Below are 13,054 nucleotides of genomic sequence, written 5' to 3' on the forward strand. Positions count from 1 at the left end.
GCCTCCATCATTTACTCTTAATGCAGCAGAGTAAACTTCTTAACATTTAAGTTACTCTTCTGCTCAAAACCCTACAATGGCATGCTGCTTCATTCAGAACAAAAGCCAAAGATGTTACAAAGGCCTAAGACCTTCTCTGTTTTCCCTCTATTTTCCTAACTCCATCTCCTAAAAAATTCCACCTCATTCTGCTCAACCCACCACGGCATTCTTGCTGTTCTTGAACATGCCAAGCAGGCCCAGGGCCTTTGCATTCACTGTTTATTTTGCTTGGAATGCTCTCCCCCCAGACACCTTCATGGCCTCCCTTACCAACCTCACATCTCTGCTCCCAAGTCACCTTCTAGATAAAGCCAACACTCATCACACTAATGACAACTACAACAATCCCTACTGATACTCACTCTAGCTTTTTACCTGTCACATTTGCTGTCTTCTAACATACTGCATAATTTACTTATTTATTCTCTCTCCTTTATAAAGAGTTCTAAAAGAGAAGTGACTTCTATCTGTTTTGTTCAAATACCCGAAGGCTCCCTGTTACGTTGTCAGCAGTCAATAATTATTTCTCAAATGATACCTGTTTTAAGAAATGTGAGCTGCTTTTTTAGTGAAACAAGAAATGTTTCTACCATATAACATTAAATTTCATATTAATTCTTTGGATTAAAAACATGGTGACTTTTTTTTTTTTGGTCCCAATCCTCCATAGTCTGTGCTCTCAGATACCAAAATGTTTTGCTCCCACACTAACATCTGACAAAAATGGAAAAAGCACTTAAAATACAAGGAAAGCATTCCTGATGCTACTGCCCAAGCAAAAAATATAACAAAGAATATATAATATGACAGCACCCTGAAATGAACTGCTTTTTAAATTAACATTCACCACCAACCAAACCAGAGCAAAGCACTGATTTCCAGAGACACTAAATCTAATGACTAAGGTAATCCTAAAATGAATATATAACTTTTTCAATAAAGTATGATTTCATTTCAAACAAGAGAATGCAACAATAAAGGAAATAAATTCCCCAACATTTCCTTGGTTATCAGCTTAATATTTCAACTATTTTTTAAAAAGCCACATTTTCTATTGCATGTTTAAATGATATCCATATATTTTTGCATACTAAAAAGAATGAAGGGGACAGCATCCTGTTTGAGTTACTGGTTTTGCAGCTGACAAAAACCAATGTTAATATCATTACTGACATCTCTGCTTGCAACCTACATTTAAAATAAAGTTAAAGATACTGAAATTTCACATGTTGTTTTCAAATTCACTTTCAGGACCCTTTTTTTTTTTTTTTTTTTTTTTTTTTTTTTTGAGACAGAGTCTTGCTCTGTCGCCAGGCTGGAGTGCAGTGGTGCAATCTGAGCTCACTGCAACCTCTGCCTCCTGGGTTCAAGCGATTCTCCTGCTTCAGCCTCCCGAGTAGCTGGGACTACAGGCGTACACCACCACATCCAGCTAATTTTTGCAGGTTTAGTAGAGACAGGGTTTCACCATGTTGGCCAGGAGGGTCTCAATCTCTTGACCTCATGATCTGCCCGCCTCGGTCTCCCAAAGTGCTGGGATTGCAGGCGTGAGCCACTGCGCCTGGCCGGAACATTTTTAATACAGGCTTATCCCTCCTTAATTTCACCATTAAGAATTAACGAAAATTTTGCCATTAGTATTAGGAAGATTAAAGTGAATCACCTCATTTGAGGCACTCTCCTGTATTATAACAGGGCTCTTAAGTTTCACATTTAGAATACATATTTCCATTTTACGAGATACAAATTTTTATCTATCATTTTCCATGAGAAAGCCACCGAAACGTAGTTTTAGCTTTTATGAACGATACTTGTTGACGTTCATCTGGTTCCCTTCATTTAGGGCGCCTGCATGCATCAGTATTGCTCTCTGATGGACAGGCGTTATGTTCCTAACTACATTCAATGTCCCTTCCAAGTCTCATTGTATTCAGAATAATTTGACATTACTTTTCTTCAGTACTGGGTATAGCTGTCAACTCTCACTAGAGTGGCACTGCCTAAATATACTGAGTACTTGCCATCCTTGTGTATTTCAAGGCTTCTCCAAGTTTTCATTTTTTTCATGTATCAGATTTACAACGTGCCTATCACTCCAGTCATCTACCCATCAACTCAGAATTTATAAAACAGTATAAAAATTACAAGAGCACAGCTATAGAGTTTATATTACCTAATCACAGAATCTGTTCTGTTGTACCCTGGGATGGAAGAAGCCTTTTCTCCTGGAGATCCCAAAATTTGAAGTGTTGTATTAATGTCAACTTCAGATGAATGCTTAATGGAATATTCCATTATTTCTGGAGGTATTAGCGGAGTCTCTCCCTGAGTATCATCAGCTAAGAGGTAGCCTTCAGTTTAAAAAAAATTAAAAATGAACACTTAACAAATCTACATTTATCAAATTGTACTATAAATGTTTTCAGTTTGATTTATATACATCATATAAATTGATGTAAATTATAAATGTTAACCTGTTAATTTCAAGTTTATGCAAAAAAAACTTTCTATGTCTCAGATAAGTAACCCTCAAAACTACAGAAAAGGACAAATGTTTTATTCACCAATTTTGTAATTCATAGGGGCTTTTTAATCTACTACCTTAAATAATTTTCAGTACTGTATTCTGTAAAGTTAATAGAAATTTTGCTACTATCTATATTAGAAGTCAATATTAGGGAATTCATTTTCAAAAGTCAAGATTTTTTGCTTATTATTTAAAATATGGAAACACTAATAGTATGGTGGTCAAAAAAGAAGATCCTAAGAGTCAGACTGCCTAGATTTACATTCTGGCTCTAAAAATTAATAGCAGTGTGACAATGGGCTAGTTTCTTATACTCTCAAAGTCTCAGCTTCTTCATCTATTAGTTGGGGATAATGACGATGATGATGATAATAGTAATACTACCTAGCAATACTAATTCAGCGGGTAGAATGAGATCCATGAAACATTTGGTATGCAATAGGCACTGCATACATATTAGCCAGTATTTTTTAAAAATGCATCCATAGTTCTATGACAGAAAATGGCTGTATCCAAATTTTATCCAATATTATATATACACTATTGTTTTTCATATAGGAAGCTTCTTTTAAGGCTTAAATTGCTCAGTTGGCAATTACATTTTAAAAAGAAACCACCAACCAACCTGTAACTAAAATAAGCCAGTGAATATCTTCATAGAGATCATCAAGCATTTTGTTGTCAACAGTGCTTGAACCCGGTGAAGCAAGTAACTGTTGCTGATGTCGTTGTAACTGACCATGGAGTCTTGTTACTCTTTCTTCTAATAAACTAAAAGAGAAGAAAACAGTAGCTTCATAAAGTTCAATAAGCAAAGACATGGAACAACTTACAACTTCCATATATTAGACAACATGAATTGAATGTTAGCGTAAAAACACATATACAAAAACATTATAGTACACAACTGTTGTCATAGCACTATAGGAATTATGATTTATTTTTTATAACATAGAATTAAAACACTGCTTTACAAACAATCAAGGTTTACAACAGGCATTTGAAAACTGGTTATTCCAAGTTTTTACTGATATGGGTCAAATCATTTCTCATACCATGTTTTCCATAATCTCTCTGCCATCTATGCTGTAGTGCCTGGGCTCCAAATGTCTAAGCCAAGGAACGCAATCATGAGTATGTTTCTGTCCATTTGTTCCAGTGTGCTGGGACACGGGGTGGGGGTGTTTAAAGTCTTTAAACACTTTAAGTGCTCTCCAGGGAATTGTGAATAGAGAATATTTGCTCCATGGGGTTTCTTTGGACTGTGTGTACCTTGTCAGAAGAGGTATACAGTGTTCTGCAGCAATTCTTCCTAGCATTCCTACACTGGCCAGTTGATCAGAAAACTGGTCTCGATCATCCTCTTGAAGTTCACTTATTTCTTCCTCCTCACGAGAGGCCACACCATTGGCAGTCTATTGCAAGTAAAAGAAATAAACAATGAGGAACTGCATTGCCTATTCAACGTGCACTTCTGTGGCTCCATAACATAGCTTAGATAGCTAAGCACTGCATAGCAAAAGGAGAGGGGACACAGCCGACCTTTGAGCACAGCTATCTAGGAACTCCCTTCTAACAATGCTGACAGCCGTGGTAGTTATCAAAAGGGGGAAAACATACAAGAGCAAGAAGTACAGGAATCACTCCATGGTGATCAACACAACTAACTGCACACCCACAACCCACCTCCCATATGGGAGAATTGAACTTCTGTCACTGAAATAACCAGACATCCATGGCCCAAATTATTCATATCTCTTGACAGCTAGACAGAAAGAGGTGGGTAACTGAAAATTGAAAAGGAATATACATAGGCAACATCCCATTTTAATAAGAACTCAGAGAACAAGGCCACTTTTGCTCCCAGCAAATCTTCTGAGGGAACCCATCCTAAATTTCTGGCATTATATAATGTGTAACATGGTAAAATATAGCCTATGATGAAATAGACTGTTAATTACCATCTTGCTTAAAACTCACCAAATTTCTTGTGCCATCTGGAGCAGCTAGGTGGCACTGAATATAGGAATTGAAAACTTGAACTGCATGTTGGGTAAAAAAGCCTTTATGGAAATGTTTGTCATCTTGAACCAAAGTTAACCAGGACTCCAACAATTTATCATATGCTTCCATGTATACCATGTCATCTTTATCAAGCTAAAAGAAAAGAACACTCATAAAACAAATGTCCAGAGAACGACAATTGGCATAACAACAGTCATATAAATACATACAAATAGTTTAAATTTTTCCTTTAACAGAGCTTCCCAATTATTGATAAGTTTTTATTGAACTTTCTAAAATCTTTCTAAGTTCAAGTAAGTCTTAGGCAATCTGGAATTAAAGTTTATTTTTAAAACCAGCTGTTTAGTGTTTTGTGGAACATGCATTTTTCAAATAAAAATAATATTAACATTTTCTGTAGTCAAGAAGAGAATTGTTAAAATAAAAAAAAATGTATACACCCTACGCACTTTAAAATGGTTTTAGAGAAACTGAAGGATGAAAACAGACTGACTTAATCAGCAGGTTTAAGAATATGTGGGGAGAACTCCACCAGTGCTCCTTAACAAGAAATAACTCATAATAAAAAAGAACAGCAAATTCCATACAGTAGAAAAGCACTGTCTTCAAAAAAAATGTAATACGCGTTGACTCAACTCATAATTATTAGAGAAATACCAAAAGTGTCCCATACTTAGAGAAAAATCAGAAATTTAACAAGCACAAATACTTTGTGAATGTGGAAATAAATTTCTCCCTCTTCTTGGTTCTCCATCTTTTTGGTTCACTGCAGTTAGTTTTTCTTCTTACAAAGGAAACACATGTGGGAAACTTAGAAAAAGAGACAAGTAGATAAGATTAGGGAAAAGCCAGGCTTCTTCTTGCCCAAAGCTCTGACTGGCTAAATAGGCCTCTCTCCACAAGCATGGTACCGGATGTAACTAGACCTGTATGAGATCCACTAAGGAAACCCTGAGGCTGTATACGCTTCAAGATAGTCTCAGTGAAATTGTTTAGCTTGTAATCCTAATTGTCCTCTTTCCTATTCTTTCTTCTTCATTTAGCTACTATTACTGAATTAAAGTGTTACACCAAAACTACACCACTGAGAAAGAAGAGAAAAATTATCAGAGAAAAAGGTAGGATGACTATGCACACCACCAGGCTGTTTCACAGAGTTACTTGTGGTCCAAGATCTCCCTGAATGGAGCTAACATTTGGCTAAAAGGTCACTCTAGTTTAAAAATCTACAAAGGTCAGGAGGCAAGAATGAGCCTGGCATTTATATCGCAGAGAGAGCCGGTGGACCTGGAGCAGAGAGTGATGGGTCCTGACATAACATGGGGTGAGAATGGGGGCTGGGAGGCAAGAAACAGATCAAAGGCCTTGACAGGCTATGACAAGGACACTAGGTTTTCTTCTAATTGCAGCAAGAAGCCACTGCAATGCTTGAAACAGATAGAATGCTTTTTTCTTTTTTTTTTTTTTTTTGAGATGGAGTCTCGCTCTGTTACCCAGGCTGGAGTGCAGTGGTGTGATCTTGGCTCACTACAGCGTCCGCTTCCTGGGTTCAAGCGATTCTCCTGCCTCAGCCTCCTGAGTAGCTGGGACTACAAGTGTGCACCATCATGCCCAGCTAATGTTTGTATTTTTAGTAGAGACGGGGTTTTGCCATGTTGGCCAGGATGGTCTCGAACTCCTGGCCTCAAGGGATCCTCCTGCCTCAGTCTCCCAAAGTGCTGGGATTACAGGTGTAACCCACTGCACCTGGCCAGATATAATTCTTTAAAGGAAAATCAGACTGCTTACACTGCAAAGTATAATGGTGCCATGGACCAGGGGAGAGATGATGCCAAGCAGCCAAACTGGGTACAGATTTTGGAGAAAGGGCTGACACTGGAAAATGACCTGAGGCAAGACAGAAAACAAGGCAGTGGTGGGGGTGCACCTGGGTTTTTACCCTGACAGCTGGGAAGATTCCTACAATACAGAAGGATGGGGGTGTTGGACAGGGCAATGTGAGATGACGCATACAGGGTGATGAAGGCCTCTTGGCCTTTCTTCTTTTGGACATGTTAAATTTTAGATCCAAAATAGGAATCCAAGTGGGAATGTTCTATTAACATGTTTGATACATGTCTGAAGTTTAGGAAAGAGATCACGGCCGGAAATACAAATTAGGGCATCGTCAGCACACAGATACCTAAGTATTTATTTTTAAAGTTGAAAACCCAGAAGCATTCACTTAGAAGATGTTGATTAAGAATAAGGAGGAGCCGGGCATGGTGGCTCATGCCTGTAATCCCAATACTTTGGGAGGCTGAGGTAGGTGAATCACCTGAGGTCAGGGGTTCAAGACCAGCCTGGCCAACATGACAAAACCCCATCTCTACTAAAAACACAAAAATTAGCTGGGCATGGTGGCAGGAGCCTGTAATCCCAGCTACTTGGGAGGCTGAAGCAGGAGAATCACTTGAACCTGGGAGGCAGAGGGGAGACCCACACTTATATAAAAACTACAGTATGGCAGATCATTGAGGATGAAGGACTATTCAATAAATGTTGCAGAAAAACCTGTTATCCACATGGAGAAAAAAAATTTGCATCCCTACTTGACTAAATTCTAAGATGTTAAAGTCAGGAAAGGCAAATTTTAAAGAATTTAGAAGAAAACACAGGAAGGGTAGGCGTCTTTACATTGGAACCAAAATTACAAATCATTAAAAAAAAAACTTTCAACTACATTAAGATGAGGAACACTTGTTCATCAAACAATATGATGAAGTCAAAATGCAATGTGATATCCAGGACTAGGTCCTGGCACAGGAAGAGGACATTGGGGGAAAAACTGGTGAAATCCAATAAAGCCTTTAGTTTAGTTACTAATAATATGCCAAAGTTAATTTCTTAGTTCTGACAAATGTACCATGGCTACAAAAGATGATACTATTAAGAGAGAACTGGGTACAAGGCACATGGAAACTCTCTGTACTGTCTTTGCAAATTTTCTGTAAACCTAAAATTATTCCATATTTTAAATACAGAATTATTCCATATTTTAAATACAGAAAAAAAGTGAAAAAGCCATAAAAAAGAATAGATCTGTGTATTAGTTCATTATCTCACTGCTGTAAAGAATTACTTGAGACTGGGTAATTTATGAAGAAAAGAGGTTTAATTGACTCACAGTTCCGCAGGCTTAACAGGAAGGATGACTGGGAGGCCTCAGGAAACTTACAATCATGGTGGAAGGCGAAGGGGAAGCAAGCATGTCTTAGCATGGCAGAGCAGGAGGGAAACAGTGAGGAGATAACTGCCACACAATGTCACGAGAACAGCATGCGGGAAACCACCACCCCCATAATCCAATCACCCCCCACCAGGTCCCCGCCCCTGGCACGTGGGTATTACAAGATTACAATTCGACATGTGATTTGGGTGGGGACACAGAGCCAAACCATCTCAATCTGAAACCCATATAACCAACAAGAAACTAGTTCTAGAACATATATAGACTTTCTACAAATCAGTAAGGAAAAGACAAACATCCCATTAGGAAAATGGGCAAGGGACACAAACAAGCATTTCAAAAGAGGAATCACAGAACTACATATTTAAATATATGAAAAGATGCTCAATGTTACTGGTACTTGGGAAAGCAAATTAAGATCATATTTTATGCCTGCTAGTTTGGCAGTAAATGTTGGTGAGAACATGGATCATTGAGAACTCACATACACGTAATACACTGGTCCAATCACTTTCGGAAAAATTTGACACTACTATCTTCTAAAAGTGAACATTTACATACTCTCTGATCAAAAAATTCCACTCCTAGGTTTATACTTTAGGAGAGCTCTCAGTCAGGCATGGTGGCTCATGCCTGTAATCCCAGCACTTTGGAAGGCTGAAATAGGTGGATCACCTGAAATCAGGAGTTCAAGACTAGCCTGGCCAACATGGCGAAACTCCGTCTCTACTAAAAATACAAAAATTAGCCAGGCGTGGTGGAACATGCCTGTAGTTCCACCTACTCAGGAGACTGAGGCAGAAGAATCGCTTAAACCCGGGAGGCAGAAGTTGCTGTGAGCCAATATTACGCCACTGCACTTCAGCTTGGGTGACAGAGCAAGACGCTGTCTCAAAAAAAAAAAAAAAAAATCTATTGAACGCTAAGAGCCAGGCACTGGAATATGGAGATGAATAAGATACTTTCTTTCCATAGAAACATCTGTGGCCTGTTTATATACTTAACAAAGCATGTGCTTTACAGCCATCATTTGTTAAGTCTTAACAGTTTATCTTGCCAAAATAAACAGACTGGTAACATATCACAAGAGGAATTTAGGAATAGCATCCTCTGACTCACCCAGTCTCCAAAAAAAAAAAAAAAAAAGCAGGATATTTTCTAAGACCTATCTTGGTTGTTTTTTAGGTACATATCTAACACATGTTATCGTGGTTTAATTATTCATATACATAAAAGTATAACTAAAAAGTAAAAGTCTTATATGCCTTTCTATTATTAAAAAAAGTTTTCAATAATCCCTCCTATTAACACTCTGATATTAGAACAGAAGATCAGAGGTAGACTGCAAGAGCCTCAACTCATTGGATGGCAATTTACAGTAAGACTATGGACTTCTAAACAGCCTTCTGGTTTCTTTTGGAGATAATATAACTCATCGAGCAAAGTGTGAGAAATATGGTTGTTGACAATTGGCAACTAAATCTTTCAGTCTAATCACAGAAAACTGAAACCTAACCTAGCGCTTTTTCATAATACCCTGGCCCTGCTCCATGGCCACTCTGGCCAAAACCCAGCAGCCAAGGCAGCAGCACGTGCACAGAGATGACTAAGGAGACCAAGCTAGACACTATGTGCTCATGCCCTTGGTATTGTCAGGCCTGCTGCCAGAGAGGCTTTGGAGAGGGGCTTAGAGCTTACGAGACTACTTGACCCCACTTTACTCCATCTGGAAATGCAGGGTGGAGAAGGTAATCAAATTATGATATCAGCACTTATCTCTCAATGCCCATAATTACCTTGGAAGTATATAGAGCAATAAATTTGCAACCCTTTAGTCATAGAAAAAAATCTTTTACGTTTTGGTAATTATGTTGAATACATAATTCCAAAATAGTGGTTACTTTTATTTATGAAAATGCTGTCAAATGAAGCTTTGAAAAGAAAACTTTCAATATATGAAATCTGTCCCCTTTTTGACATCAAATTGAATTTCAGAGATTAAAATCTAACAACACTACACGATTCCAACTACACGACATTCTAGAAAAGGCAAAACTATGGAGACAGGCGAAAGATCAGTGGTTGCCAGAGGTTGTGAGGGGCAGGGAAGGATAAATAGGCAGAACACAGAGGATTTTCAGCACAGTGAAACTACTCTGTATGATACCTTAATGATGGACATCACACACTGGTCCAAACCCATAGAATGTACAATGCCAAGAGTGAACCCTATGTACACTATGGACTCTGGATGGCGATGATGTGTCAATGTCGTTTCATCAGCTGTAACAATGTACCACTCTCGTGTGGGATGTTGATGGGTGAGGGTGGGGAGGCTGCATGTTTGAGGGGGTTTGTATTTTCACCCAATTTTTGCTGTGGACTCAGAACTGCTCTAAAATATAAAAAGTCTTTATCTATATTTATATTTATCTATATAAATCTAATATCAGGTACTGTAAAAATATGAGCTAAATCTCATGCTAAGGTAGTTAGTTTGTTTTCCTGTGAACAGCAACTAATCATCATGACAACTCCAAATCCTTTCAATGAAATTGGAAAGCTTTTTCTGTTGATCATCAAGATTATCTTCATATGTAAACATAAATAACGTGTTAGATATGTGATTCACAGACAAAAAATGCAGTGAGATGAATATGGGCAATTCATTTTCACAGAAAATCTTATGTCTACAGAATATCCTTCAAAAAGTTCCTTTTATATTATTCTTTACAACAGTTTGGAAGTGAAAACAGCTTCAACTATCAGAGATTGTAGAAGCTGCAAAAAAGTGCCCAAAACACTGGCTGGGAAGTTCACCAGCAGCATCTGCTTATAGACTCACTTGGCAGAAATAAGTAATGTACCAAACACTTGCATGCAATAACAGGAGAAGGAAAAAACCACAGGTTAAAAAACAACAGAAAAAGGCTCCATCAATATACTATACTATTTCTTAATCTGCGTGGTTGATACATAATCGTTCATTTCATTATTCTTTATATTTTTATAACATAAAACTAGTACTTTATATGAATGAAACATTTCACAATAACTTTAAAATTTACAGGCATCAGCACAATCCCCACGTCTAACAACAAATCACAAATAATATTTGTGCTGCACAGTGTAAAACATTAAGAAGGACATATGAACGATTAAAGACTGAAAGAGCTATACTATTAGTTTATGCTGTTATTCATCTGCTATTGGTATGTAGATTCTTTCCTAGCGAAGTATCATTTAAGGCAAATATGGGAACAATATAGTGACACAAATGTCACAAAAAAAACTTCATGAACTCTCCACTTAAAAATGTAGGAATTTAGAAGTCTTTGAATGTCAAATGAAAAATAAATCCACGTCTAGTTATTTTTATTTTTTCTAGCTAGTTCTTAAAATACAGAATTAATTTAACTTCAGAATACCTATGCAGCTGACAGTATTCCTGGTTTCTGGAATCCCCCAAGAGAAATGGATTTAGTAGACAAGTATTGCAGCTGTTAGAAAAATCTTACAGACAGATCACTTAAATATGATATGGAACAATAGTTATAACAGTAAGTAAGCTTTATTCTAAATCCACTGCACTAAAGGTGCAAGAATTCTGTGAAACTTAACACTGGTTCTGCACTAGGATTGGTAAAGCAGATTTAAACAATCAGAGCTGACTCATACAAGTCATGAAATATTACATGGTTATCATCCAATTAGAATTAAAACATTAAAACAATTCTTAAAACACTTCTTTTAATACGAATCTGTATTTAAGGTAAAATAGTAACTAGTTTTCTTCCAAATATCCTGGTAGAGCTAAAACTATTGTTATTATTTCTAAAAAGTATACTTTTAATGTGCAAGCTTTAAAAAATACTCATGGATTTAATTCTATCTTTTAAGCAGAGGAAATGAATGTGCTTGATGGGTGGGGGGCGCTGGACAGCCAGCTTGCTCTCTCCAGTATCATCAGTTTATTCTTTTATAGCTACAAGAACCGTTTGGTGGGGATGTTGGCAAGGATCTTCAAACAATCCATCCTTTCATGGGTGAAGGTGCAAGGTAGACTACACAGTTACACTGTACGGACACAACCATCCAGAGAATAAGTATTGTTTTCCCTCTTATCACTGAGATATCCCAAAATTTATGCTCCCCACTTCTCAATCTGTAATTTGGCTTCAATTTATGGCTTCCTTTTTGTCACATAACCTCACTACAAAGTAATTACCCAACAAGCCAGAGAAATTAAATTCTGAATCAAGAATGCTGACCTCTAAATACACTCACTCACTTGACAAATTGCAAATTTATTTTATTGCATTACATTCTATAATCAACTTCCTAAAAACTTTATCAAGTACCTTTTTCTTTACTACCTTGTCCTGCTGGTCTTGAGATTAGGCTACAAATATACTAAAACTAGATGTAAGGTTCTTCCTTTATAAATTGTTATTTACCACGATTGCCCTTATACACAACACATACATCAAAATGCATATACAAAATACCTCAATGCTATGAAGGCTGCTCTGTTCCTGTAGCAACATACTGCACAGCTTCACCTACTTGGCTGAACTCAAAATGGTTAATTATAAAAGAAACCAAGAAACAAACTAGAGTATACAGTTCTAGTCATATTCTCCTTGAATTTCACTGAAACAATTCAAATGCATCTACTATTATAAATCTTTTATAAAACAGCTGTTGTATTAATATGAACAATTATTGATAGAATTTTAATCTTTTTTTGAGACAAAGCCTTGCTGTATTACCCAGGCTGGAGTGCAGTGGCATGATCTCAGCTCACTGCAACCTCTGCCTCCCGGGTTCAAGTAATTCTCCTGTCTCAGCCTCCTCAGTAGCTGGGATTACAGGAGTGTGCCACCATGCCTGGCTAATTTTTGTATTTTTAGTAGAGACGGAGCTTCGATGTGTTGGCCAGGCTGGTCTCCTCACCCGACCTCAGGTGATCTGCCTACCTCAGCTTCCCAAGGTACGGCCGTGAGCCACCAAGCCCAGCAGGATTTTAATCTTTAAGGCAATACTTTTTCATCTCCACATTCATTCTTACCTCTTCAGTTCAGCAATAGATAATAATTTGATTTCTGGGTATAATGAAAAAATTCTTATCTCCAAAAAGTCTCAAATAATATCAAGAAACTTCTGCAGCCACAGAGAAACTTGGCTGAATACCAGAATTGCTCTTTGTGAACACAGACTCTCAGTTAACT

At 37.5% G+C, this 13,054-nt stretch overlaps 1 protein-coding gene across 13 annotated transcripts in view; it reads right to left on the reverse strand.

The window, feature by feature from the left end:
• XPO4 (exportin 4) overlaps positions 1-13,054 on the reverse strand; it is a 125,446-nt gene that overhangs the window by 27,913 nt on the left and 84,479 nt on the right. For 12 of the 13 annotated variants that reach the window (NM_001372061.1, XM_047430537.1, NM_022459.5 and 9 more), the window contains 4 exons: positions 4,550-4,726; positions 3,842-3,984; positions 3,195-3,340; positions 2,216-2,393 (listed from right to left, as the gene is read on the reverse strand). In NM_001372061.1, the coding sequence (NP_001358990.1) occupies positions 2,216-2,393; positions 3,195-3,340; positions 3,842-3,984; positions 4,550-4,726 (644 nt within the window). The remainder of the gene's footprint in view (positions 1-2,215; positions 2,394-3,194; positions 3,341-3,841; positions 3,985-4,549; positions 4,727-13,054) is intronic. The other variant, XM_047430541.1, reaches the window with a different exon arrangement.

Source organism: Homo sapiens, chromosome 13 (genome assembly GCF_000001405.40).
Source record: "Homo sapiens chromosome 13, GRCh38.p14 Primary Assembly".
NCBI lineage: Eukaryota > Metazoa > Chordata > Mammalia > Primates > Hominidae > Homo > Homo sapiens.